Below are 27,858 nucleotides of genomic sequence, written 5' to 3'. Positions count from 1 at the left end.
GCTTCCGACTGCACCTGCTCCCCCGGCTCGGAAACGCGGGCCGGGTGCCGGGCTGCAGGCAGAGGGTGCCCGGGGGAGGAGGTCCCGAAAGCCTCCTCCACACGCCTGCACCGGCTGCCCCCTCCCCAGTCACGTGGCCCGGTGGGTGGGGACCGACCTGAAGTTGGAGAAATCCGGAGCGCTCCCAACCTCGGAGGGAGTCGCCAGTCCTCCGGGCCCGGGCGGTGGACCCTGGAGCCCCGGCTGGCGGCGTGGAGGTGCGTTTCTGAGAAGCCGAGCAGCGGCGCGGGCGGCGGGACTCGAGGCATGGCCCGGCTGTCGGTGATCCCCGGGTCGGCCACGGCGTGGACAGGTGAGCAGGTACCCGCGGCCAGCGGCAGAGATGGCCGGGGCTGCCAGGGCATCGGGCCCCAGAGCCCACGCCAGTCCAGGGGATGCGGGGCCCCCACGCAGGAGGGGGCGGTTGGGTGAAAAGGCCGCGGTGGATTCTCGGACTGCCGGGTCAGTCCCCACCAGCGCCGCCGCCTCCTCGCCGGCTTTGCCACCGGGTGAGCAGGGGACGCGGGACGCGGGACGCGGGACGCGAGGGAGCCGCGCGGGGCGTGGACTCTGTGCCGGCCCCGCCCCCCGCGCGCGCACTGGCTGCTCCCCGCGACGTCACGCTCGGCTATAAAAGGCGCGGCTCGGGGCCCTTGCGGCGCTGGAGGAGCTCGAGGCTGAGGCTGCCGGGGGGCTGTGGGCTACCGGGCCGCCGGCGCCTCAGCGATGTTTTACTCAGGGCTCCTCACTGAGGGCGGCCGCAAGGAGACCGACATGCGGGAGGCGGCGTCACTGCGACAGCAGCGCCGGATGAAGCAGGCGGTGCAGTTCATCCACAAGGACTCCGCCGACCTGCTGCCCCTGGACGGCCTCAAGAAGCTGGGCTCGTCCAAGGACATGGTGAGCCCCCGCCGCCGTTCTCGCCCCGGCCCCGGCGGCTTCGCGCCCGCCGTTTTCCGAGGCCCGGCCGTTGCGGCTTTCACTGAGTCACGGCCCGGCCCGCCGCTGCCCTTGGCTCGCGGTCGCTGCGTCGCGGATTCCTCCCCTTCCAGTACCCCTGCTGCGGTTTCGGTGGGGATTCCGTCGTAGCTTTTCTAGCTTGCGCTCCCCTCGGCTGTGCCTCCTCCCTGGATGTCTCTTCTCCAGTAGAAAGAAGAGGTCCTGCCCTGCCCTCTTGCCCTCGGGTCTTCTTTCTTTTTCCTTATTCTTAATACCGAATTTTGTTCACGGGGCTTGTGCCTCCTATGCTGTGTGGCTGTTCCTATGACCCAGACAGAGGTGATTCCTAATGGCTTTCCGTGAGGGGGAAAGAAGTGGAAAGAGGGTTTTTTGACAGTTGCCAGATCCAGAGGACTTCTGTTGAATCCATTGTCCCCCTATGCAAAACCCACTTCTCTAGTTTTGGTCCTAACTTTGACCTTCCATCCTGAGTGGGGAGAGAGAAAAGGGGCCAAATGTGAAGGTTTCCTGAACCCCCAACATCTCTTCATCATTCTCCTCTTCCAGCCCCGCCCCCAAGGAGTGGGTAGAGGGAGGAAGCCAGGCTGCTGCATCTCACCGACCAGCTAATGTGTGCATCTGGAGCTGGGGTGGGTGCAGTCTTTTTTTCTAGCACAGTTGTTCCTGGCATTAAGTAGAAGCACCTCAGGACAGGGGGCCTGGGGTCAAAGATGGTACTGTCCTCTTTCTATAGAATGGGATGGATGGCTAAGGGTTACCAATATAAAGAACTGTATTTGTCATCCCTCAGCCACTGTAGTGGTCCTGGGCCAAGTTTATGTTTAACTTTGTAGTTTTATCTGGAGTTTTCTTGTAGTTTGATTGTTTTCTTGAATTTCACAATCGCTTTATTCATTTGGGTGGTAATATGTGAAACACTAATTAAATGTCTTTTAACAAATGAAATAGGTGCTCTGCATAATTTTTCTAGTATTTTTTATTTTAAGCTTTTGAAATATTTAATTTTGGATGTGGTTGTCGGCCCTAGTTCACTGAAATTGCCATTTCTGGCCCCAGGAGGGCAGAGCTTCTGCATCCATTTCCTTTTTTTTTTTTTTTTTTTTTTAATTTAACAGCTCTAATGATACACAGGTACATTATATTATACACAGTATAATATAATATACAAAAATTTTTCTCCTCCCTGCCATTAGTTACTTCTGTGCAGAGTTTGTCTACTTCAGTTATCTTGCTCTGTTTTTTTTACAAGTTGTGTTTTTTTGTTTTGTTTTGCTTTTTGCACAACCCACAGGATAGTTTATCTGATTTATGCTAACCCAGAGTGATAAGTGATTGAAATGTGCTCCTGCAAAAGAGATAACTCTCTTTTCCCTTCTTTCACTTTAAAGCAATCTCGATTCATTTAACAAATCAGGTTCGAGAAGTATTCTTTCCTTCAGGCCAAATAATCCTATCCTAGTTCCTAGAATGCTCAGCAATCAATAAAGAAGGAAGTATTATATTAAGAGAAGAATTAAAATACAGAGTTTTTAAATGCTGGATTTGGTTGTCCCTCGTTGTCGAGGAGTTTCCTAGCCCTGAGAGCTACCTGAACTTCCTTCTGCCTAGGATTTCTTATACTACTTCATGCTGTGTAAGAATTCCATCCGCTTTTCTGACTCTAGTCTGTCTCAGTTGAGTCACAAAGGGCTGATAGCATACAGCACAGGCAGCAGGCTGCAAAGAGGAAGGAGCCTCAAGAAGCAGGATATTGCCTTGAGTATGACACATACACATGACAGTTGACTGTAAGGCTCTGAATCATGGTTCACGCTTTCTGTGCCCCACCGTCATGGAGTTGATTTCCCTCTCTCACTGTTTTCACACCTATAATGTACAAGTGATTGCACAGAACAGCCAGGTTACAGAAACCAAGGCAGACCGAGGTAGGGCTAGGAGAGCCGCAAGCGCTGGGGTGAGGCAGCATGCTTAAACTCTCTTGGAACTGTTGTTGCAGCCTTAGTACAATCTTAGAAGTGACCTTAGAAGTACATTATTATTCTTTTACTTTATAAATACATGTGGGATAGACCAGTGTTGACTCAATTTTCTCTCACTGCAAGGGAAATTTGGAGGATGTTAAAATTAATTGAATAGTTCTTACTTGGAGTAGTTTATAGTATAATCTCGATAGAAGGAGTCCAAGAAAAGGGAGAGGATAGCATCAGAGGGAGATAAGGAAGAGAGAGGAGAAATTAGTTGTTATTGACTTTTGGGTTTGTGAAGATTGTAGGTTGTTTTTCCTCATACCAGCAACCTATATTTGAATATACCGCTGGGATTTCTGAATTATCTACCTCTTACTATGCTGTTTCTGTAATGTTCACTGCTTGATACCAGCCTGCCAGCTCTTTTAGGACTGGCAGAAGGCAACCATAGGAAATCAAAGGGGGTCATGTTCTCTTGGCCCCAGGAAAGTGCCTTTGCCTATTCCTGTGTATCTGGAGTTGGCTGATACAAAGTCTTCTGTGGAAATTATATTTTTGTCTGCCCCTTTTGCTTTTATCCTTTTATCTTGTATTGTTCATTCTGTATTAGATTAAGAACTAAAACCAGAGATATGAGTGAGTAATATTATATTTGATTTTTTTTTTAAGAGACGGGTTCTCACTCTATTGCCCAGGCTGGAATGCAGCTGCAGTCACATCTTACTGCAGCCTCGACCTCGCAGGCTCAAGAGATCCTCCCACCTCAACCTCCTGAGTAGCTAGGATTACAGGTGCACACCACAACACCAATCTAACTTTTGTATTTTTTGTAGAGATGGGATTTTGCCATATTGCCCAGGCTGGTCTTGAACTCCTGGTCTCAAGCGATCTGCCCACTTTAGCCTCCCAAAGTGCTGGGATTACAAACATGAGCTACCACACCCAGCCCTGATTTTTTTTTTTAACTCAGTGAAGCTGGAGAAAAACATCTCCGTTCTTGGAAATTTGCCTATTGTAATTTATCTTGTTTTAGCTACCAGGTTCATAAAAGTTTTTCTCATTGTGCTAAGGACTTTTTAATTTTTAAAAACAGTCATGTTATGTGGTAATATGCTGTCTTTCCTAAATGATATTATACTTACCTGTAGGCATTAGGCCATATTCTTACTTGTCTGGCAATAGAGTTTTTCTTTCCTACATATGATTGCTTCTGATCATAGCTAAATGCTTTTTCAAAACTGACTAGAATTAGGAATGATGCTGGGGGAAAGATGGTTGAACACAGTAAAGCAAACTTACCATAAAATACCTGAACAGAATCTCTGTCTATTAGAGCAGGTCTGTGTGGTGTGCCCTATAGATTAGCTATCCATATCACCACAAATCATGGGCTGGAGAATTTCAGAGGCTTAGAAGAGAAGCGTGAAATACCAGTATAACACCAAGATCTGGCACAAACTGAAGATTTGCAGAGTCGTGATTGCATCCTCGTAATAGCAAACATTATTTGAATACTTGCTGTGTTCAGGACACAGTCTAGGGGCTAAGACACAAATAGGAAGACAGAAAAGTTTCTCATTATAAACAGGTTTATAGGTTGGGGGCAGGGAAGGACAGATCAGTTAATTTAATATACAAATATTTATTGAGTACCTACTACACATGTCATGCAATAATTTAAGCTTTGGAGATATAATAGTGAACCAAAACTGAGTTCCTGCCTTGACGGAACTTTCATTCTTGTGGGAGGAAGGAGGCAGAAAGTAAAATTAAGTAAATGTATATAAGGTAATAATAATAAATATTTTCTATGGAGAAAATAAATCAGGGTAAGGGGAATAGGGAAGGCAGTGACTGGGGTGGGGTGGAGTCTGGCTATTTTGTACAGGGTTGTCCGGCAAGGCCTATCTGATAAGATTACATTTGAGGAGATACTGAAGGGAATTAAGGAGCAAAGTTTCTCAGGGAAGAGTGTTCTAGGCAGAAGGAACAGCAAGTGCAAAGGACTGAGGTGTCACTGTGCTTGATATAACTGAAGAACTGTAAGAGGACCAGTGTAGCTAGATCAAAATGAGCAAGGGGGAGGGTGATAGAAGATAACATCAGAGATGTAGTAGGAGGCCATTGTGCAGGCATTTGGGTGGTTTTTTAAAATTATTATTTTTTTTATTTTCCACTCTTTTCAGCGCATACCTATGCATTTGGGTTTTAACCTGAGATTGGAAACGAGTGGAATATTTTGAGCAGAGGGGTGATATGATACATACGACTTATTTTACAAAAAGACTACTCAGGCTACTATGTGGGTTACACTGTAAAGGGGCAAGAGTAGATGAAGCAGGAAGACTGATTAGGAAGCTATTATACAGTAATTGAAGTGAGAGTTGATGGTACCTCAGAGCAGTGTGATAAGCTGTGAAGGAGAGGAGGAAGGATCAGGTTCTGGATATATGTTGAAGGCAGAGCTGACAAATGTAATTGATGCATTGGATTAAGAGTGAAAGAGTAATCAAGGAAGACCATGAGGTTTTTAACTTAGCCATTGGAAGAACAGAATTATCACTTGCTGAAGTGGATAAGACTTGCAGCGGGGAGCAGGTTGAGGATGGCAAATAAGAATGAAGAGTTTGCGGGCTGGGCGCGCTGGCTCATGCCTGTAATCCCAGCAGTTTGGGAGGCCGAGGCGGGCAGGTCACGAGGTTAGGAGATCAAGACCATCCTGGCAAACACGGTGAAACCCCATCTCTACTAAAAAATACAAAAAATTAGCCAGGCCTGGTGGCGGGCACCTGTAGTCCCAGCTACTCGGGAAACTCGGGAGGCTGAGGCAGGAGAATGGTGTGAACCCAGGAGGCGGAGCTTGCAGTGAGCCGAGATCGTGCCAATGCACTCCAGCCTGGACGACAGAGCGAGACTCTGTCTCAAAAAAAAAAAAAAAAAAAAAAAAAAATGAAGAGTTTGATTTTTGAACAAGTTTAGGGTCCCAATTAGTTACTTAAATGTAGATGCTGAATAGACAATTCTAGAAGAAGATAAGTAACACCACCAGAAAGCCTGTGCTAGTTGCCAAGATGTAATAGTCAGATGTGCCAGAGGAGTCCAGCGGAAGAAGTGATTTCTCTAACCTGATGTGATGATAAGGATGGAGACTGGCATCTATTTACACCTTTACCATTCCCTTTGAGCCAGCTGACTGTGAGATGGTATGGAGAGAAGGCTGCCTCTAGAGTGTGCTTTGTAGAACCTCAGAGTAGGAAGAATTTTACAGGTTATCTGGTCTAATTCCTTGCCCATTTGTGAATCCTTTCTAACAAAATGCAGCCTCCGTGAGCAGCTGAGAAACCATTATCTCAGACTAATCCACAAAACAGATAATAATGAGGAATAGGTTGTTTGTTGGGTCATGAGCAAAGGCAAAGAAATAGAACACAGAAGGCCTGGGGCAGTGTAACAGCCTGCCTTATGTTTTTGAGCAACTGCAAACTGAAGAACAATCTGTGTTTCCATGGGGTAGAATGGGTCACGTGTTATATACTCAGCTAGTAAGCAAAGAGAAGGCACAAATATTGGTGACCTTTTGGATTTCCAAGGTCAGAGATAGAGACATGTATACTGGGCTTGACTCAGGAGTCCATGTTTATCTATAGACTGTATATGAGGACTAAAATGGAGTAGAATGATTTCAGGCCCTTTTGGGGTAAAAGAAAAAGTGAATGGTATCCATGACCCTTGTTCTAACTAAGCTCTAGTTGTGGCTCTGTTGCTAGCTAGTGACCTTGGATTTCTCTCTTGGGAATAAATGCTACAAAGAAAGCAGACCCCTACCATTTCCTCTGTTTTCTAGTTTGGTTCATTCTGTGGACCACAGAAATCCATTAGTTTCTGTCTGGGTAGCTTGGGTAAAGGGATTGAGAGAGTGGCTTTAAAGTTCTTGCTCAAATTATGATTCTATGGTATCCTGCACTATAGTCTGATTCCTCTCACCTCTCTTTTCTTCAAACTCTATAGTTTGGTTAGAAGAGATGTTTAAGCAGTGTGGGTGCCAGATTGAGGAACTGTAGCTATTTTCACCCAGAATACAGCACTTCCCATAGTGTTCATTTCCTTTAGAAGCTCTTGATGGCGATGGAGGCAGAATATTTGAACTTGCCTGGTTAGAGTTTAGATGCCTCTAGCAGCCACATTTCAGGAAGAGTAGAGAAGCAGGGACTGCTTAGGTTAGTAGCTGCCTTGTTGAAGTTTAGCATAAAGCAGAATCCACGTCAGAAAGACGACTTAAAAATTATGTCTAAATGGCCACCAGGGTATCTGCAGCATCCATCTAGCAAATTAGTACTGTGTATCCTTTTTTCTTTCTTTTTTTTTTTTTTTTTTTTTTTGAGACGGAGTCTCGCTCTCTCACCAGGCTGGAGTGCAGTGGTGCGATCCGCCTCCCGGGTTCAAGCGATTCTCCTGCCTCAGCCTCCCCAGTAGCTGGGATTACAGACACCCACCACCACACCTGGCTAATTTTTGTATTTTTAGTAGAGACAGGGTTTCACCACATTGGCCAGGATGGTCTTGATCTCCTGACTTCGTGCTCCACCTGCCTCGGCCTCCCAAAGTGTTGGGATTACAGGCATGAGCCACTGTGCCTGGCCTCCTTTTTTCTTTTTTTGAGACAGAGTCTCACTCTGTCACCCAGGCTAAAGTGCAGTGTCGTGATCATAGCTCACTGCAGCCTTGAACTCCTGGCTTCAAGTGATCCTCCCACCTCAGCTCCCAAATAGCTGGGACTACAGGCGTGTGCCATCATGCCCAGCTAATTTTTAAATTTTTAAAATTTTTAATTAAAAAAAATTGTTTTTGTAGAGACACAATTTCACTGTGTTGCTAGGTTGGTCTCAAAGTCCTGGCCTCAAGCAGTCCTGCCTCAGCCTCCCAAAGTGCTGGGATTATAGGCAAGAGCCAGTGCACCTGGTCAGTACTGTGTATCTTGAAAGACAGGACGGCCCTTGGAAAGCCAATATGTCAATAAACAAATGAGAACCACTTAACCATATTTATAAAACAGTCATAGACTGGGGATACAAATAGTAGAAATTCTTTAATATACAAGTATTGAAGGGATTCTGAAAGAAAGAATTCAATGATATTAATCAAGAAAGGCTTTTTGGCTGGGTGTGATGGCCCACACCTGTAATCCCAGCACTTTGGGAGGCCAAGGCAAGTGGATCACCTGAGGTCAGGAGTTTGAGACCAGCCCGGCCAACATGGTGAAACCTCATCTCCACTAAAAAGGCAAAAATTAGCTGGGTGTGCTGCTACGCACCTGTAGTCCAGCTACTGGAGAGGCTGAGGTGAGAGAATTGCTTGAACCCAGGAGGTGGAGATTTCAGCAAGCCAAGATTGCGCCACTGCACTCCAGCCTGGGAGACAGAGTGAGACTCCATCTCAAAAAAAAAAAAAAAAAAAAAAAAGGAAAAAAAGGCTTTTTGAAGAAAGAAGGGGTAGAGATTTCTTTCAGTACTATGTCAAGAGCTGAGGATATAGCTGAAATCAAGACAGTCATGGTCCCTGCCCTTGTGCAGTTAACATGCTGGTAGGGCAGGGGTGAAATATAAACAAGTAAATACACAAAATAATTTCATATTGATAATTACTATGAAAGAAATAGTGAGATTTGTTAGTAACTAAAAAGGTGACCTACCTACTTTAAGTTGTATGGTCAAGGAAGGTATCTCTGAGGAAATGACATTTGAACAGAGACCTGGAAGATAAGAGGGACCTAACTATTAGAAATGTTAGGGGAAGAACATTTCAGGCAGAGGGGACAGCCAGTGCAAAGGGATTGGAATGGGAAAGAAATTTTGAGCAAGGAAGTGAGTGTGGATGGTGTTGAATCTGAATGAATAAAGGGAGAGTGGTTTGTATATGGAAGGAGAGGCAAGGGCCAGTTGGTACAGAGCTGTATAGAGAAGGGTAAAAAGTTTGGATTTTTTCTGAAGAACAATGGGAAGCCATTGAAGGGTTTTGAGTAAAGTACTGTATTACCTGACTTATGTTTTAAAAAGCTTACTCTGGTTTCCATGCAAAGAATGGACTGGAGAAGGGTAAAAGAAGAGGCAGAATGCAAGTTAGGAGGCTGTGACAGTACAGATAAGAAATTATAGTGGTTTGGATTAGATTGGAGGTAGTAAAGATGGGGAGAAGCAGATCAATTCCAGGTGTGTTTCAGAGTACAATATCACTTTTGATGGGAGGTCAGGAAATGAAAAAATCAAGAATGGATGTATGGTGGTGCCACTTACCAAGGTTGTTGGAAAGGAATTAACCCAATATGTTAAAACTGAACAAGTCTTTGGAGTTCAAACCTCCTTTATGACTGATCAAGAGAGTAAGGTTTGGAGAAAAGTAATGCTCATAGAGGTTAGTGATTTGCCCAAGCTAATATGTGACAAGTGGTAATTTGCTGAAAGCAGAAAGCCTTCATGGAGTAGTAATTAAAAAGATGAGATTGGGAAGGAGGATGAATGGTAGTGGAAGGTCTTGAATGGTAAATTGAGGATTTTTCTTTGTTACAACTAGCAAGAGAACCACTGTGGGGGAAGAGGACCATGAAAGTAATGTTAGGAGATTGGGCTTAGCAGTAACGTAAATGAAGAAGAAAATAAGAGGAGGCAGAATTTCACCCACCGAGATAGGGAATAAGGGAGAATGCGCAAGTTTGATAGAAAATATCAGTGGGATAATTTACATTTGAAGTGCCTGTGGAATATCTAAGTAGAGAAGTTGAAAAAGGCAGTTGGATCTATGGGTCTAGAATTGAGGTGACATCTGGACATGAGATAGAGTCATCATCATAAAGGTAGTAATTTATGCAATGAAAACAGATAAAATTGCCCTGGGAGTATATGTAGAGTGACAAAGGACCAAAGATAGAGCGATGAGGAACACTAACATTTAAGAAATGAACATAGGCAAAGGAACCAGTGAGAGAGACAGGAACAGAATAAACAGGTGGTTTTAGAGGCCAGTGGAGGAGCGTTTCAGGATAAATGAAATGTTGAGTTTATTGCAGCATTGTTTCTAATGGCAAACATATGAAAATAATCTAAATGCCCATTAGTAAATAGTTAAGGTATGCTTATACCACAAACTTGTCTGTCAAGGATGTGCTGTTTTAAAATGCAGAAAGTAGGGCAGACATAAGAAAATAGATGCTAAGCTGGTTATAAGATAACCTGGCATTATACCTGCCTAAGTTACATTGTGTGTGTGCACATGCTTTAGTTTTTGCATCTGGCAGACACTGTTAGTTGGCTAAATTATCACCCATCCTTAGCCCTTTTCTTTATGCTGAACTCCTCTATAGAGATTATAAAAGCTAAATTCTCTCCCAATGTCTGTTAGAGCTAGGAGTGGCCATATGAGTTCTGACCAAGAAGATATGGGCAAAAAACTGCTGAAGGAACTTCTGGGAAAGCTTTTCCTTTTCTGATAAAAGCAATTGATGGTGTTAGTGTAGTCCCTCCTCCTTCCTCATTTCTTGAATGTGGATATAATGCCTGGAGCTGGGGTATTCATCTGTGACCATGAAGGAATGTCCAAGAGAATTAACAGAGTCAATAGCCCTGAAGTTGTTAAGCTGCTGAGTTAGTATCAGCAGCTTCTATGTCTAGACTTCTTGTTATGTGAGAAAAATAAATCTCCATTTAAACTACGGTAAGTTGGCTTTTCTTGTGGCTGAACTCTTTTCTGCTACATGGGGTATATTTTTATTTAAAATTTTTAAAAATGTAAATAATTTAAAACTTTTAAAAATTTAAAGCTGTTGCTTGTGTTAGGGATCTCCATATCTCCAAGTAAATGGTGATACTGCTATTTCTTAATTAACTGTTTTCATCACTATCTATCTAGTCTTACTTTTTTTTTTTTTTTTTTTTTGAGGCAGGGTCTCGCTTTGTTGCCCAGGCTGGAGTGCAGTGGTGTGATCTTGGCTCACTACCACCTCCACCTTCTAGGCTCAAATTAGTCTCCTACCTCAGCCTCCCAGGTAGCTGGGGCTACAGGCGTGCACTACCATGCCTGGCTAATTTTTGTATTTTTTGTAGAGGCAGAATTTCACCATGTTGCCCAGTCTGGTCTTGAACTCCTGGGCTCAAGCAATCCGCCCGCCTTGGCCTCCCAAAGTGCTGGGATTACAGGTGTAAGCCACCGCACCCAGCCCTGATTTTCTATTATAATGGATAAAAACTTAATTCTCTTACACCTTCCCATCATATTCACTCTTCTATTATACTAACATTCTGTTAAATAACTATTTTGGGTCAAATAAGCATTTATTGCTTACATTATTATGACTATGTTCTTGTTATTTACAGCTGAGTCAAATGTACTATTTCTTTTCTCATAAAAACATTTTTCTCAAAATTAATAATTTCCTTGGTGTTTAAAAAAAGTTTCCATGTAAAATTTAATTCTCCTTCAAGTAACTTAAAACTATAGATGGTCTAGCAAGTCCATTGTTTTCTTGGAGGATCCTTCCTAGAGCCCCCTATCTTTTCATTTCATTTTGGACTGGCTGCTTTTAAGGCCTGTAGGCAACCTGTATCCTGGACTTTTCCTTCAACACCATTCTTAGAACTGCCTTTGCCTCTCTATTGGATTCTTTCATTCTTAGATCTCATGTTTTTCTCCTTGTTGTTTGTTTCCCTTGCTTTGGTGAAGCATGCATATCTTTCAGTAGCTTCTTGAGAAGACACAGGAAATAACTTTCTTGAGTCTTGATTGATAGTTTGACTAGGTTTACAAATTATGTACTATCAAATTTTTTTTTTTTTTGAGACGGAGTCTCGCTGTGTCACCCAGGCTGGAGTGCAGTGGCACAATCTCAGCTCAATGCCACCTCCACGGTGAGTTCCAGTGATTCTCCTGCCTCAGCCTCCTGAGTAGCTGGGATAACAGGCACCCACCACCACGCCCGGCTAATTTTTGTATTTTTAGTAGAGATGGGATTTCACCATGTTGGCTTGGCCAGGCTGGTCTCGAACTCCTGATCTCGTGATCCGCCCACCTCAGCCTCCCAAAGTGCTGGGATTACAGACGTGAGCCACTGCGCCCGGCCCCAGATTTTTGAAGGCATTATTCTATTGTCTTTTAGCTTTGACTGTTACTGTTGAATAGTCCTCTACTATTCTGATTCCTAATCCTTTGTATTTTGATCATCTTTTTCTCTTTGGAATCTTGTGGAATCTTTGTCATCAATGCTATTCCAAAATTTCACAGTGATGTGAAATCTTGATGTGGATCTTTTTTCCTTCATTATGGTAGGCTCCATGTGGGCCCTTTCAATCTTTAAACTCATGTCCTTCAGTTCTGGCTTAGTATGATAACCCACACTACCCTTCAGCTGTTCTCGAAATCTGAAAGCCTAGCCAAGCTATCAACTAATCAGTCTTTTTATTTACTCTTACAAGAAGAGTAAACTTTTGGCATTCTCCTCAGTTCTCCAGATCAAGTGAGTCTCATGAAGACTTTAGTCTATTTCCAACCCTAATTGCATCCTTCAACTGTAGAGGTTCTGATACCTGTAACTCCTCAGCCTTTTAATTTTAGTTTGAGTAGTACAACTGCTTTTACAGCTAGATGCAAATATATAACAGCTCAAACAAAATAGTTTATTTTTTCTTAAGTAACAGTATTAGTGGAAAAGTCAACAAGACAGCCTCTTCCATATAGTCCTTTAGAGACTCAAACTAACAGTAGCTCTTCTGTCTTCAACATGTGGCCTCTGAGAAGGTAACCATAGTGGTCATCTCCACTCCAGCCAGTCAGAAGAGGAAAAGAATATAGAGAAGTATGCACAGGAGATTTTTATGGGCCAGGCATAGAAATGGTGCATGTCACTTCCACTCACATTCTATTCTGTAGAACTCAGTCATATGGCTATGCCTAACTACAAAGAGGGCTAGGAAACAGTCTAGGTATCTTCTCATGAGGAAGAGGAGAATTTTAAAGAGGATTTTAAAGAGCAACTGGCAGCCTCTGCTGCTTCAGCTCTCTGTGAAGTGAAATGGTATAAAGCACTTAGCTTTCTCTAGTCCAGGTCATTAATTGCTGCTTTTCTGCCTGCTATTCAGATTCCAGAATTTTGTCAACATCTTTTTTTTCTTCTTTATTGTTCTTTTTGTTTTGTGGGTTTAGGACTTATTCTTTTACTGTCATTTTAGTGAAATTTTGGCTGAAAGCAGAGGTAAATATGCAGCTATATTGTTACTTAAGATATAGTATATGTAGGTATAATAAAATGACCAGAGAAAAACATCTCTGAGGTTCATATGGGTTTGTTGGCTGTAAATTTTCTATTCCTGAACTATATTATGAGTACTTTTTAATTATCAAAGAGAATGAAAAGAATTATGTATATTGACATAGAAAATGCCTTTTTGTTTTGAGACGGAGTCTTGCTCTGTTGCCTGGGCTGGAGTGCAGTGGCGCGATCTCGGCTCAATGCAAGCTCTGCCTCCCGGGTTCATGCCATTCTCCTGCCTCAGCCTCCCAAGTAGCTGGGACTACAGGCGCCCACCACCACACCTGGCTAATTTTTTGTATTTTTAGTAGAGACGGGGTTTCACTGTGTTAGCCAGAATGGTCTCCATCTCCTGACCTCGTGATCCACCCGCCTTGGCCTCCCAAAGTGCTGGGATTACAGGTGTGAGCCACCGCACCTGGACAGAAAATGCTTTTATATATTAAATGAAAATAGAAAATTTCAGAACAGTTTTATAGTATGATTAGTCTTTTATATGTTTATAAATGTATTAATATTTTTTGAAAGATATATTTCTAAATTTAATGGTCATTATTTGTTGGGAGTGGGACTGAGAAGGGCTTGAGAGATTGGGGAGGTTTTTGCTTTTAATTTTATTTATTTATGTATTTGTTCATTTATTTATTGTTTTGAGATAAAGTCTTGCTCTGTTGCCCAGGCTGGAGTGCAGTGGTGCGATCTAGGCTCACTGCAACCTCGGCCTCCTGGGTTCAAGCAATTCTCCTGTCTCACCCTCTCTAGTAGCTGGGATTAAAGGTGCATGCCACCATGCCTGGCCAATTTTTGTATTTTTTCTTTTAGTAGAGACAGGGTTTTGCCATGTTGGACAGGCTGGTCTCGAACTCCTGAGCTCAAGAGATCCGCCTGCCTCGGCCTTCCAAAGTGTTGGGATTACAGGTGTGAGCCACCGTGCCTGGCCTTTGCTTTTTATTTTATATATTTCAGTGATACTTAAGTATTTTACATTGAGCATGTGTTTGAACCTTTTTTGGTTACTAAAGAACAAGTAAAGGAATAGTCAGCAGGGCCAAATGCACTAGAAAAGTCTGGTAAAATTAAGGCTGAAAATGTCTATTGTATTTGGAAATCAGAGGTAATTATTGGTATGGGATAAGAAGTGATCTCAGTGAAGAAAATATGGGATATCAGAAAATAGATGTCATGGTTTAGTCTTTTTTTAAAAAGACCATTCCAGATAAGGAGGGTGATTAAAGGAGGCTGTAGAGTAAAGGCAGCAGGATCTGACATTTTGTGGAGGAGTTTGCTCCCCAATATCTAGGAACTTTTAGTATGTTTTATAACTTTTGGAAGAAGAATCCAGTAGAAAGAGGAAAATACAGAAAAGGGATGAATTCAAGCATAATGATTTCAGAACTTCCCTCGTTTGTCTCATCTGTCCACTAATGATTAGGTTCCTTTGCAAGATTAAGAACTAGATAAAGTGTTTAGCAAGACCAATGTAGGAAGACATCCCCAAACTTTAGGTAAGAGGGCTTTGTTTAGGTGGTCTTTGAAACTCCTTCCAATCTTCACTTCTACAAGTCCAGTTTTATCTGAGTTGGTCCTGGTAAGCATGGATGTAACAGAAACAAACACCCTGCTTTAGTATGGCTTGAGCTAGGAATCCATTCTTATTGGTGAGAGAGATTCGAATGAAACATTTTCATTTCTTTTGAGAAGCAAAGCATTATCCCAGTGTTGCATCACAAAATCTGACAGAGTTAGCACTTCCTCTAGCTCCTAGTCAAGCTAAGAAGCTCTCATTTTCTTTACAAGTGCCTCTCCCTCCACTTTTCCCAAAGATACCAGTTTAGAATGTGCTTTGCCAAGAATCAGTGTATTTTGGGAATCCATTTCTTCATCTCACTAGGGTTACAATGAGTCATGGCTGTGACTGCATTCTTCCTTAGGAATCTGAAAGGTGGCAGATACACTGAAGACCTCCAGTGCCAGCCCCTCCCCTTGAAAGGTTCTAGGCTCTGGGCTTCTAAGAGTGACTTCCTTCCCCATAGAATGAAAGTGTCATCTGGTATATGTTAGATAGAAACTTGGGGTGAAACACTCTCCTTTGAGGGATTTTAGGTTAAACACTCTCCTTTGAGGGATTTTAAATGGTATTGTAGCCGGGACATAAGATATTTGTGTATACAAATTTCTCCAGTCAAAGGATTTCTTTTCAAGAGATATCTTAAACTTTCTGGAGGCCACTTTGAATAGAAACAGTGGAGCATGATTATATCTGCCCTAGGAACTCTCCTAAGCTCTATCAAAGTGTAGACTTAAACTCACACTTCTCATTCTGCTTCTTAACATTAGGCATCCTGGCATGCATATAAGGTCTAATTAAGTCCCCTGCTTCTTGGTCAGTGTCTTTCCCCTTCATACCTCCACTTTTTGGGCCATTGAAGGGAAGGGAAATGGATGACAAGATAGGGCAGGAGAAACCAGTGTTTTGAGGACCAGGGGATGCCAGCATCGATGATTCTTGTGTGTTCGCTCAGGTTTCAAAGTGTGTCTGCTGAGAGGCTTGCTCAGCAAGTGTGAATTCCTGTCTTTTCACCCTATCCACCCATGGGTGACTCAGTCCACAGGACAGCCAGCCACTAAGGCTTCTGCAGGCTGCATCTGAAAGATAAGAGAGTGAGACTTGACACAGAAGTAGGCAGAGCTTCTGAATACCTGTGTTAGCTAAGTTTCTTCAGCCTATGAAAATGAGCTGCCCTTTCTATAAGGCAGTGATTTGCTGTCACCTAGGAAGATACAGAGATTACTTACTCTAGACTAAGACCACTTTTCCCTTGAAATGCTCTTGTAAGGGGAAGAAAGGTAGCAGGCCTAGGTTAGTCCAAATCACAAGGGTTCTCAGTTCTCTTAAGCCCTAGAATATTTATCGGCCCTCTCCACATTTCCCAGTGTCATATCTTGCATTTTCATTCATTCAGGGTGGCCTACTGCAAATTGGTTTATGGTACCTGCTCTGACAATACCAGTGAAGTCCTCACTTGAAGGAAGTATAAATAAGAAGCAAAGATAGAGCTCAGTTATGGGAGGCTCCTTCATTATTTTTATGGCACCTGGGGGACAATGGGAAAGAGGGATGTGGCCTGTCACTAAGAAGTCTCTGCTTTCTATCCCTCAAGCAACCTCATAATATTCTGCAGAGGCGCCTCATGGAAACCAACCTGTCTAAGCTCCGAAGCGGTCCCCGTGTCCCTTGGGCCTCTAAGACGAACAAACTCAATCAGGCTAAGTCTGAGGGGCTAAAGAAGTCTGAGGAGGATGACATGATTTTGGTTTCTTGCCAGGTAATGTTCTGAGAACAGCTTTTCCAGGGTTTTCTGGAAAGTAGGATGTGGGGCCCTCTCCTCCTGACTTTATAGAGTGTGGGTCTCATGGAATTCATAAGTGAGTTTTAAAAGGGGCACTCCATGCAACACTGGAAGTGTATGCAACATTTTGTAAGCATGTGCATCTTTATGGGAAGAAGGAACAAAGCTTTCATCAGATTTACAAATGGGTATGTGATTTTTTTAAAAAAGATTAAGAGCTATTTGGTGTATAGCATGAAACACCTAGAGTTTTTGGGGGATCTTCTGTCAGCTCTGGATTCAGCAGGAACAAGAGCCAGTCAAAGGCAGACTTAGCAGTGGGTAAAGATGGGACACTATAACCCATAATTGGGAGGATGCTCTCCAACCCTGCCTTTCATATGACATCTGCTGCTTGCTGTCTGCATCTCCTTTCCCTTTCGCTTCTCTGGCTCTTATTGAACAGTACATTTCCTCCCCACAGTGTGCTGGAAAGGATGTGAAAGCCTTGGTTGACACAGGCTGCCTATATAATCTCATCTCTTTGGCCTGTGTGGACAGATTGGGGTAAGTAGGCACTTGTGCTGAGTGGAACTTAGATGTGACTGTACTCTTCGCTTGACTCTATTTTATGGTTAGAGATGGTGAGGGTCTCTACAGCAGCTCAAAGAGAAGTATGCAGAGTTCAGATCTCAGCTGGAACCAGAATCCTTAGTAGAGGGGAGGAGTAGTGGGTTATCCGGCAAGTGGGAGAAATCAGTGAGCAGGGAAACCTTTGGCTTTCTGTTAACTCCCCCTATTAAGTTTTGAGCAAAGACCTCTAAACTTGAATGAGAGAGCCTGAGACCTCTGGCTCATTGTGTGCCCTGCCCTGATCCACTAGATAGCAAATTAAAAGGAGCTGTCCTGTTGGTATACTCCATCCAGATGAGTAAAAGTAGGGATGTGGTGGGGCTTAGCTTACTCAGAGTCTTTCTGGAGGATGCATTGCAGGTCCCCAAGAAACATCCATCAGAACTGAGAATAGGACTGCAGCTGCTACTGGGCCTGGGCCATCATAAGGGTAATTAGCCAGTAGTTTCTTTTGTTTGTTTTGTGTGGCGGAGCCTCACTGTGTTGCCCAGGCTGGAGTGCAGTGGTGCAATCTCAGCTCACTGCAACCTCCGCCTCCTGGGCTCAAGTGATCCTCCTGCCTCAGCCTCCCGAGTAACTGGGACTACGTGTGCGCCACTATGCCTAGCTAATTTTTTGTATTTTTTGTAGAGAGGGGGTTTTGCCATGTTGCCCAGGATGGTTTTCAACTCCTGGGCTCAAGCAATCTGCCCGCTTCAGCCTCCCAAAGTGCTAGCATTACAGGCGTGAGCCACTGCACCCAGCCCTGAGCTTTTGTGTGGTAAAAATATGAAGTATAGTGCAACATGATGGTTCCAGAAAGACTAACAATGTCCTGGTGCATAATTAGGCAGCAGACTGCCATGATTCCAGAGGAATTAATAACCATCTGTAAAACTGCAATTATTTTTCTTTTGGATGGGCTATAACACCAAAAGAGAGGAAATAGAGGAAAGCAGAAGTATTGGCACAGAAAGTTCATAATTAAGTATTTATCCACCAACCCATAATAGCTCGGGTGCTAGCTATTCCAATCAGCTTATGTAACATGTGAAACCTTGGTACTGTTTCTTTCCTTCCTCCCCTGCACAGACAAGTTAAATTAACAAGGATTTTCTCCATGATATTCCTTGCTGATATGAATATCAGTGCACTTACCAAATAAGTACTTGCCTCCATTAACATTATAGTCTAAGACAGACTGATGAAGACAGAGTGAAATAGAAAGGACAATGAGAAAATTACACATTGAACAAAGCACCTTATAAAATTAGGATTAATCTGACTTCTCTAGTATCTGTTACTCACAGATGGGTAAAAGGATGTGTCAACTCAATTGCCTCACACAATAGTGGGGATAGTAGGATACAGAATAGGATTCTCTGAATATATCAGTTCTCCTCTCTTCACCAATACACATAAGTGATGTAAGGTTTTTGAGAACGGGAGATGAGTCTTTAGTGTTTTTATATCTCCCTGGCATGTTTAGGACAAAGTGCTGGAACAACATATGTAGGATGGCTAGCACTTTTCGGTAGATTAATCCCAGGAGATCCCTGGAGAATTCCAATTGTAGGTCAGAAGGTAGGCATTGCAGGATTCTACCAGGAATCTCTGTCAAGGGGATTTTGGTATCTTCCTCTTTGGTACAGACTCAAGGAGCATGTCAAATCCCACAAGCATGAAGGAGAAAAGCTTTCTCTACCCCGGCATCTCAAAGTAGTGGGCCAGATTGAGCACCTAGTGATCACACTGGGCTCCCTCCGCCTGGACTGCCCAGCAGCTGTGGTTGGTAAGCAGAATTGAGGGCTGGACCTATGGACCCTAACGGAAACCCTCTCCCTACCCCCAACAAAACCTCATGTCATCTCATGCCTGTAAATATTGACTTTTTCAAAATGGTTCCCATTTTTTTGTACTGTAGACCTTGTCCCAATTTTTGCTCTCCAAAGTAATAGATGGGCCCTGAGCTACATTCAAGACATGTTGAGAATCAATCAGTAAAACAAATGTGGTCAGATAAAAAAAAAATTCGGCCGGGTGCGGTGGGTCATGCCTGTAATCCCAGCACTTTGGGAGGCCGAGGCGGGCGGATCACAAGGTCAGGAGATCGAGACCATCCTAGCTAACACGGTGAAACCCCATCTCTACTAAAAATACAAAAAATTAGCCAGGCGTGGTGGTGGGCGCCTGTAGTCCCAGCTACTCGGGAGGCTAAGGCAGGAGAATGGCGTGAACCTGGGAGGCGGAGCTTGCAGTGAGCTGAGATCGTGCCACTGCACTCCAGCCTGGGCGACAGAACAAGACTCCGTCTCAAAAAAAAAAAAAAAAAAAAAAATTCAAGGAGCAAGAGGCCGGGCGCAGTGGCTCACGCCTGTAATCCCAGCACTTTGGGGGGCCAAGGCGGGCAGATCACCTGAGGTTGGGAGTTCGAGACCAGCCTGACCAACATGGAGAAACCCCGTCTGTACTAAAAATACAAAATTAGCCGGGACTGGTGGCGCATACCTTTAATCCCAGCTACTTGGGAGGCTGAGGTAGGAGAATCGCTTGGACCCGAGAGGCAGAGCTTGCAGTGAGCAGAGATCGCGCCATTGCACTCCAGCCTGGGCAACAAGAGCGAAACTCCGTCTCAAAAGAAAGAAAAAAAAAAGGAGCAAGAAAACACATTTTTATGTATAGGTGAAAATGTCCCTTGAGAGCTTTCCATGAACTAGTTAGAGACAGAGAGCAACTTACTTACTCCTTTGCCATAAATCCCTTGATAATTTCCCACCAGTTTCCACACTTCTCTACATTTTACTCTTGACTACTCCAAGTTCTTGGTTTTTGTGTAAAGGCCTTTGTCCTTTAGAGTAAAAAAGACCTGGGTTTGAATCTTGGCTCTATTGCCTTGTAAGTTTAATGATCTAGGAAAATTACTTAATATAACACATGCTCGGCCAGGCGCGGTGGCTCATGCCTGTAATCCCAACACTTTGGGAGGCTGAGGCGGGTGGATCTCCTGAGGTCAGGAGTTCGAGAGAAGCCTGGCCAACATGGCAAAACCCTGTCTCTACTAAAAATACACAAATTAGCCAAGCGTGGTGGTGGGTGCTGGTAATCCCAGCTACTCCAGAGGCTGAGGCAGGAGAATTGCTTGAACCTGAGAGGCAGAGGTTGCAGTGAGCCGAGATTGCGCCACTGCACTCCAGCCTGGGCAACAAGAGCGAAACTCCATCTCAAAAAATAAAAAAAAAATAAAAAAAAAATAACACATGCTCAATATATGTTTATTGGATGTTATTGGATGGATGGATGGAACCTAATAGTGATTAGGCCAACTTCTAAGCAAGCATGGAAATGGCTAAATCTTAATCATTTTTTTGTTTTTATTAGATGACAATGAGAAAAACTTGTCCCTTGGTCTACAGACTCTCCGATCTCTGAAGGTAAGATTGACTCCACTTACCCCTTGATACTTCCTCTCTGAGGCAGGTATCCTCTTACACAGGAACTCATAGTGGTATCACTGACAAGTTACCTGTTTTCAGTGCATCATAAACTTGGATAAGCACCGGCTGATCATGGGGAAGACAGACAAGGAAGAAATCCCTTTTGTGGAGACAGTCTCTTTGAATGAAGACAAGTGAGTGCCCAAATGGGTCAGATCAAGTCACATCCATTTGTCATCAGCTGCGAGCAGGGTGGTGGTGGTTCTCAGACAGGACATGGGGTTGTATCCTGTCTTTGGCTTTCAATTATACTACAAATCCACCCTTCCCCACACCCAGAGTTCATCACCCCACAAAACTCTGTAGTGCACACATCAGAATGAGCAATGGTGATGCCACACAGAGTGGTAGGGAAATGACTAGCTTTGAAAGCAAAATTTTACTTGCCTTCAGCTTAACTTTTTTTGAATTTGGCATTATTTCTCCTGATATTTATTTCTCATTTCAGCACTTCAGAAGCATAACTACAGCCTGCAGCATGTCTGCACGTGTGCATGCATACACACCGGGTTGACAGATAGAGAAAACTGGGTTTGAACCAAATGCCGTAGTGACTTGCTGTGGACCAAGTCCTTCCATCTAATAGAAGCTCCAGGGGCTCCTTCCCATTCAGACCTCTCTAGACTATAGTCTATGCTTAGAGATCTTGTCTGGTTATGGCCATTGTTTTTTACTACTTTGATCACTTAACTTATAGACCTTTTTTGACACTGCCAGTCTCACTTGTGGCCTATTTCTCTGCTTCTTCCAGGAATTTGCTTTTATTAGTCAAGTATAGGGGCTGCCAGGTTCTGTGTCTCCATAGATATATGTGCTTCTTTTCCTATAGCTAAATGTATAATAAACAGGAACCTGACCTTTACCTCCTTTCAGCTGTTTCAAACAGGTGCCAGGATACCTATGTCTTAGAATTAGAGTTTCTTCAAATTGATTCATTGATTTCTCAAGTATGGATTATGTGAAAGAGCCCAGGGACATTATCCATTACAGTTTAACTCTTTCATTTAAAGGTCCAGAGAGGCAAGTGAATTGTCTAAGTTCATATATTAGGTCAGTGACTGAAGGGACCAAGAACGCAGACCTGATTTCCAAGCCAAGACTCCCATGCTGCCTCATTTGTATTCAAGCCTTTAACAGGAGGGCAAAGAGGTGAGAATGTGTTAAAAAAAAAAAAAAAAAGGCAGAGCATGGGAGGAATATTCTCTGGAGATGGATGCTAGGATGATTTGGGTAGCTCTCCCTCCTGTGTGCCAAGCCCAGTAAAAGTTCCTTGCCCCAAACTGTCACATTTAGGCCCTCATCTTGGTGCCTAAAAACGAGCGTACAAAGATGAATGAAATGGTTTCTCACTGTGAACCTCTTGGAGGAAAGGAGGAACCACAGACAGAGGAATATTAATCCCTCTCTGATATGGAATTGAAGGCTTAAGTAAATCAGAGTGTCACTGTCAGACGTTGATTACTCCCAAGATCCGATCAGCATTTCTGCCCATCCTATTATGTGTCTGTCAAGGACTGAAGTAGCTGGAAACCAGGAGTAGAGAAAGATGGGGGGAAAAAAAGAGCAAGGCCAGAATAGAAGGGAGTAGACTGAGTAGAATCAGTTGGTGGAGAGGCCTATCTAGATAAACCTTTCTGGGAGGCAGGGAATGACATTTTCAGGCAGGGAATTGAGATGTTCAGTTCTGTCCTGATACAAGGAAAGAGGCAGAGCAGGAGCCGGCAATGTTAAGGACAACTTTTTATAACTGCCCAGTATTTCCTGACCCCTGTCAAAGGTTGGGGAGAATACAAGGTTTCTTGAAGCTTTTTGACTGGGGTGTCACATTAGGCACACAGGTGTCTATAATGGAATCTCCCCTTCAGTTTGGTCATAGAAGTGCTTGGACAAGTCAGAAAAATAGCTAGCTGTGGGTATCCCTTTAAGATATTCCCAAGTCTACCCTGTGTCATAGCAGTAGTTCTCAGAGTGTTTGTTTAAAGGATCCCACTTTGAACTTTGCCAAGTACTACCAACTACCTTGTCTGGTGTTCAGCAACTGCCCCTACTGAACAGCCCTTTGGAACTCTGAATGATTTGGGCCTCACAGAAGCTCCCTAAAGCCTAGGAACTTGGTGACTATCATTTGAACAACTAGGCAGCCATACTGCAGTCAGTTGTCATGGGGTCATTCCCTAGGCCCCCTTCCTATCAGCCTCTACCTAAAGAAGCTAGATAGGAAGCTAAGCACAGCCATGGTTGGGAGGCTATATCTAAAGCTCATGAGGGGTGATCCCGGGGTTACCAGCCTTCAGCACTCCCTCTAGCAACACCCCATTCTCTTACCTAGCGGGGATTTGTACCTTTCCACTGAGGCCTCTCCATGCTCCTTCCCTACCTTTCATGGCAATACTTTGGCCTGCCTCTTATCCTGGTACTAAGTTGAAGTAAAGCTCACCCTTTACTTCCCTACTTGAAAGTTCTACTCTGAGCCTTGACTCTTAGCCACAGTGAGGCATGTTGAAGGTTCCTGCTGGTTTATTCTTTTTTTTTTTTTTTTTTTAGACAGAGTCTCACTCTGTTGCCCAGGCTGGAGTGCAGTGGCACGATCTCGGTTCACTGCAAGCTCCGCCTCCCGGGTTCATGCCATTCTCCTGCCTCAGCCTCCCAAGTAGCTGGGACTACAGGCACCTGCCACCACGCCTGGCTAATTTTTTGTATTTTTAGTAGAGACGGGTTTCACCGTGTTAGCTAGGATGGTCTCGATCTCCTGACCTTGTGGTCCGCCCACCTCAGCCTCCCAAAGTGCTGGGATTACAGGCGTGAGCCACCGCACCCGGCCTTCATTCACTTTCTTTAAATGCCTCCAAGTTGATTATTCTCCTAGCTCATATCTCCTTGATGTGCATGAGGGAGCACTGGGTCTAATTTTTGGGGGCTGAGAAGGTAAGAAGGTGAGGTCAGTTTTTCCCAGGAGTCCTAAAAAATTCTGGTACCTTACATTGAGGGTGTGGGAGAAAGGGTGTCATAGTTCTGAAAATAGGCAGTAGCATGAAGCACCAGACCTGTCTCATTCCTTATTAGATGTCTATCTCAAATAACAGAGTTTGAAAAATATTGGTTTTATCATTTGATATTTCCATGCCTGACTCGGGAAAATAACATTTTCTGACTTCTTTCTATTTTCTTGCCCTGCACAGACCCTACCTGGTACAATTTTCTATTTCTTAGCTCAAAGTGTCTATACAATGGGTTGCCTGGTATGTCAGCTGCCCTCACTCTTGTGTAATAGAAATATATTGCCAGGCTGGGGACGTGGAGGAGACGAACTGGATTCCTCCCTCCTCCTGTTGCCAGGCCTCTCTGCATTGGCACTTTATCCTTTCAGTGTTTCTGGCTGTGTTGGGTTCATTTGTGAGACTGATGTAACAATAAAGTGAAATCTTCCCCTCTGTGTGCTTGTCTGACAAAGTCTTTGTGTCAGGGCTCCAGTCTGGAAGGTGGGGGAGACTAGGTAAAGTCTAATTGCATCAGCATTTTTCTCTTAGGGTCTCCTGTTCCTCCATTGCTACTGGCCCTTCAGGTGTCTCTTACTGACTGTATGTCGAGCACATTAGCAAACCTCACTGAGCTTGGTTTTGTAATCTATAAAACAGAAGTAATAAAAGTGCTTACCTCACAGTGTCAAATAAGAAAATCCATATAGAGTGGTTGGCATATGGTAGTCACTCAGAACTTCATATACGGGAACAATCTTTTATGGTGGACCTGTCAGCAGTCCGAGAGAACACTTCTAGAAAAGGAAATATAGCTGGACGCGGTGGCTCACACCTGTAATCCCAGCACTCTGGAAGGCTGAGGCTGGAGGATTACTTGAGCCCACGAGTTCAAGACCAGCCTGGACCACATAGCAAGACCCCCTTCTCTACAATTTTTTTTTTTAATTAGCCGGGAGTGGTGGCATGCACCTGTAGTCCCAGCTACTTGAGAGACTGAGGCAGGAGGATCACTTGAAGCCTGGAGGTCTAGGCTGCAGTGAGCCATGATTGAGCCACTGTACTCCAGCCTGGGCGACAGGGCAAGACCCTGTCTCAAACAAACAAACAAAAAAAAAAAAAAAAAAAGGAAATATTTAGTTCAAACAAATAGGAGAGGTTTGGGAAGGGAAAGAGTTGAATGAACCTTAATATATAGTTAAAGTCATTGTCCAAATGGCATCTCAAATAAATGTATTTTCAAGATGATGGAAACTTACCTTTTAAGTATTGATGTTTTTTTTTTTTTTTTAACAACTAATTCAACTCTGTTTATTTTTGACGAAACCGATTTCTTTCATTCAGTTCATACTACGCGTCCACACTGTGCCTCCAAAAATATTTGCCCTTATAACTGAATGCTCAGAAAGGCTAAGAAATCTGCCCAAGGTCCCCTGGCAATCCAGCCAGAGATGTGAGTCACTCTTTTATTTATTTATTTATTTATTTATTTATTTATTTATTTATTTATTTTATTGATCATTCTTGGGTGTTTCTCGCAGAGGGGGATTTGGCAGGGTCATAGGACAATAGTGGAGGGAAGGTCAGTAGATAAACAAGTGAACAAAGGTCTCTGGTTTTCCTAGGCAGAGGACCCTGCGGCCTTCCGCAGTGTTTGTGTCCCTGGGTACTTAAGATTAGGGAGTGGTGATGACTCTTAACGAGCATGCTGCCTTCAAGCATCTGTTTAACAAAGCACATCTTGCACCGCCCTTAATCCATTTAACCCTGAGTGGACACAGCACATGTTTCAGAGAGCACAGGGTTGGGGATAAGGTCACAGATCAACAGGATCCCAAGGCAGAAGAATTTTTCTTAGTACAGAACAAAATGAAAAGTCTCCCATGTCTACTTCTATCCACAGAGACCCGGCAACCATCCGATTTCTCAATTTTTTCCCCACTCTTCCCGCCTTTCTATTCCACAAAACCGCCATTGTCATCATGGCCCATCCCCAATGAGCCGCTGGGCACACCTCCCAGACGGGGTCGTGGCCGGGCAGAGGGGCTCCTCATTTCCCAGTAGGGGCGGCCGGGCAGAAGCGCCCCTCACCTCCCGGATGGGGCGGCTGGCCGGGCGGGGGGCTGACCCCCCCCCAACCCTCCCGGACGGGGCGGCTGGCCAGGCAGAGGGGTCCTCACTTCCCAGTAGGGGCGGCCGGGCAGAGGCGCCCCTCACCTCCCGGACGGGGCGGCTGGCCAGGCGGGGGGCTGATCCCCCCACCTCCCTCCCGGACGGGGCGGCTGGCCGGGCGGGGGGCTGACCCCCCCCACCTCCCTCCCGGATGGGGCGGCTGGCCGGGCGGAGGGCTGACCCCCCCACCTCCCTCCCGGATGGGGCGGCTGGCCGGGCGGGGGGCTGACCCCCCCACCTCCCTCCCGGATGGGGCGGCTGGCCGGGCAGAGGGGCTCCTCACTTCCCAGTAGGGGCGGCCGGGCAGAGGCGCCCCTCACCTCCCGGACGGGGCGGCTGGCCAGGCGGGGGGCTGATCCCCCCACCTCCCTCCCGGACGGGGCGGCTGGCCGGGCAGAGGGGCTCCTCACTTCCCAGTAGGGGCGGCCGGGCAGAGGAGCCCCTCACCTCCCGGACGGGGCGGCTGGCCGGGCGGGGGGCTGACCCCCCCACCTCCCTCCCGGACGGGGCGGCTGGCCGGGCAGAGGGGCTCCTCACTTCCCAGTAGGGGCGGCCGGGCAGAGGAGCCCCTCACCTCCCGGACGGGGCGGCTGGCCGGGCGGGGGGCTGACCCCCCCCCCACCTCCCTCCCGGTCGGGGTGGCTGCCGGGCGGAGACGCTCCTCACTTCCCAGACGGGGTGGCTGCCGGACGGAGGGGCTCCTCACTTCTCAGACGGGGCGGTTGCCAGGCAGAGGGTTTCCTCACTTCTCAGACGGGGAGGCCGGGCAGAGACGCTCCTCACCTCCCAGACAGGGTTGCGGCCCAGCAGAGGCGCTCCTCACATCCCAGACAGGGCGGCGGGGCAGAGGTGCTCCCCACATCTCAGACGATGGGCGGCCGGGCAGAGACGCTCCTCACTTCCTAGATGGGATGGCGGCGGGGAAGAGGCGCTCCTCGCTTCCTAGATGGGATGGCGGCCGGGCAGAGACGCTCCTCACTTTCCAGACTGGGCAGCCAGGCAGAGAGGCTCCTCATATCCCAGACGATGGGGGGCCAGGCAGAGACGCTCCTCACTTCCCAGACGGGGTGGCGGCTGGGCAGAGGCTGCAATCTCGGCACTTTGGGGGGCCAAGGCAGGCGGCTGGGAGGTGGAGGTTGTAGCGAGCCAAGATCACGCCACTGCACTCCAGCCTGGGCACCATTGAGCACTGAGTGAACGAGACTCCGTCTGCAATCCCGGCACCTCGGGAGGCCGAGGCTGGCGGATCACTCGCGGTTAGGAGCTGGAGACCAGCCCGGCCAACACAGCAAAACCCCGTCTCCACCAAAAAAAAAAAAAACGAAAACCAGTCAGGCGTGGCGGCGCGCGCCTGCAATCGCAGGCACTCGGCAGGCTGAGGCAGGAGAATCAGGCAGGGAGGTTGCAGTGAGCCGAGATGGCAGCAGTACCGTCCAGCTTTGGCTCGGCATCAGAGGGAGACCGTGGAAGGAGACCGTGGGAAGGGGGAGAGGGGAGAGGGGAGAGGGGAGAGGGGAGAGGGGAGAGGGGAGAGGGAGAGGGACGTATTGATGTTTTTAATATGACTTAAACAGCATGGTTAAATAGTCAACAAGCAACACGCTTTCATTATGACAATGATTATCACCATCTAGAACTATGGTTTTACTACTACTCAAGATACTTCCATTCCACCTCAAAGTATTTTGTTTTGTTTTTGTCAATTTATTCTGATGATAAAAAATGTCAAGTGGTTCACCTGCCTGGTCCTTAAGCGATGAATGACAGAATCAATATTCATAATAATCTCAAAAGAATAAAACCAACAAATTAAAATTTACACAGTTAAGAATATATATTGTTGGCCAAGCACGGTGGCTCACACCTGTAATCCCAGCACTTTGGGAGGCCGAGAGGGGTGTATCACAAGGTCAGGAGATGGAGACCATCCTGGCTAACACAGTGAAACCCTGTCTCTACTAAAAATACAAAAAATTAGCTGGGAGTGGTGGTGGGCACCTGTAGTCCCAGCTACTCAGG

General features: G+C 45.4%; 1 protein-coding gene and 1 long non-coding RNA gene across 5 annotated transcripts in view, besides 2 other annotated features; one reads left to right on the top strand and one right to left on the bottom strand.

Annotated features, from left to right (window-relative positions):
- The window catches only part of NRIP3-DT (NRIP3 divergent transcript), a 63,704-nt gene extending 63,091 nt beyond the window's left edge, over positions 1–613 (bottom strand). Inside the window, exon 1 of the long non-coding RNA NR_183663.1 lies at positions 158–613. This is a non-coding gene — a long non-coding RNA (NRIP3 divergent transcript). The remainder of the gene's footprint in view (positions 1–157) is intronic.
- NRIP3 (nuclear receptor interacting protein 3) lies at positions 196–24,125 on the top strand. Of its 4 annotated transcripts, none has more exons than XM_024448608.2 (7): positions 196–352; positions 16,419–16,583; positions 17,071–17,153; positions 18,851–18,990; positions 20,577–20,629; positions 20,732–20,826; positions 21,141–24,125. In XM_024448608.2, the coding sequence occupies exons 2-7, from the start codon at positions 16,449–16,451 to the stop codon at positions 21,154–21,156; spliced, it is 522 nt and encodes a 173-aa protein (XP_024304376.1). In that variant the 5' UTR covers positions 196–352; positions 16,419–16,448; the 3' UTR covers positions 21,157–24,125. The 4 variants fall into 4 exon arrangements, with proteins under 4 accessions (XP_024304376.1, NP_065696.1, XP_047283218.1 ...); NM_020645.3 differs by lacking the exon at positions 196–352 and adding an exon at positions 700–939; XM_024448609.2 differs by lacking the exon at positions 196–352 and adding an exon at positions 2,106–2,786.
- Positions 604–1,523: an enhancer, noted in NCBI's record as "H3K27ac-H3K4me1 hESC enhancer chr11:9024725-9025644 (GRCh37/hg19 assembly coordinates)". NCBI's record gives its function as "activates a minimal SCP1, AML or CMV promoter by ChIP-STARR-seq in naive H9 embryonic stem cells {active_cell/tissue: H9 hESC(naive)}" and the evidence as "EXISTENCE:reporter gene assay evidence [ECO:0000049][PMID:30033119]".
- Positions 25,182–25,991: an enhancer, noted in NCBI's record as "OCT4-NANOG-H3K27ac-H3K4me1 hESC enhancer chr11:9000257-9001066 (GRCh37/hg19 assembly coordinates)". NCBI's record gives its function as "activates a minimal SCP1, AML or CMV promoter by ChIP-STARR-seq in primed H9 embryonic stem cells {active_cell/tissue: H9 hESC(primed)}" and the evidence as "EXISTENCE:reporter gene assay evidence [ECO:0000049][PMID:30033119]".

This window comes from Homo sapiens, chromosome 11 (assembly GCF_000001405.40).
Source record: "Homo sapiens chromosome 11, GRCh38.p14 Primary Assembly".
Taxonomy (NCBI): domain Eukaryota; kingdom Metazoa; phylum Chordata; class Mammalia; order Primates; family Hominidae; genus Homo; species Homo sapiens.
Note: the sequence above shows the minus strand (reverse complement) of the source record. Positions and strands in the feature narration are given on the sequence as shown.

What these genes read in the sequence shown, in the direction of transcription:
- NRIP3 (NM_020645.3), top strand. Translation starts at nt 766, where the DNA reads ATGTTTTACTCAGGGCTCCTCACTGAGGGCGGCCGCAAGGAGACCGAC. An exon ending in TGATTTTGGTTTCTTGCCAG is followed by an intron (nt 16,584 to 17,070) that starts GTAATGTTCTGA and finishes TCCTCCCCACAG; the next exon opens with TGTGCTGGAAAGGATGTGAA. An exon ending in GCCTGTGTGGACAGATTGGG is followed by an intron (nt 17,154 to 18,850) that starts GTAAGTAGGCAC and finishes TCTTTGGTACAG; the next exon opens with ACTCAAGGAGCATGTCAAAT.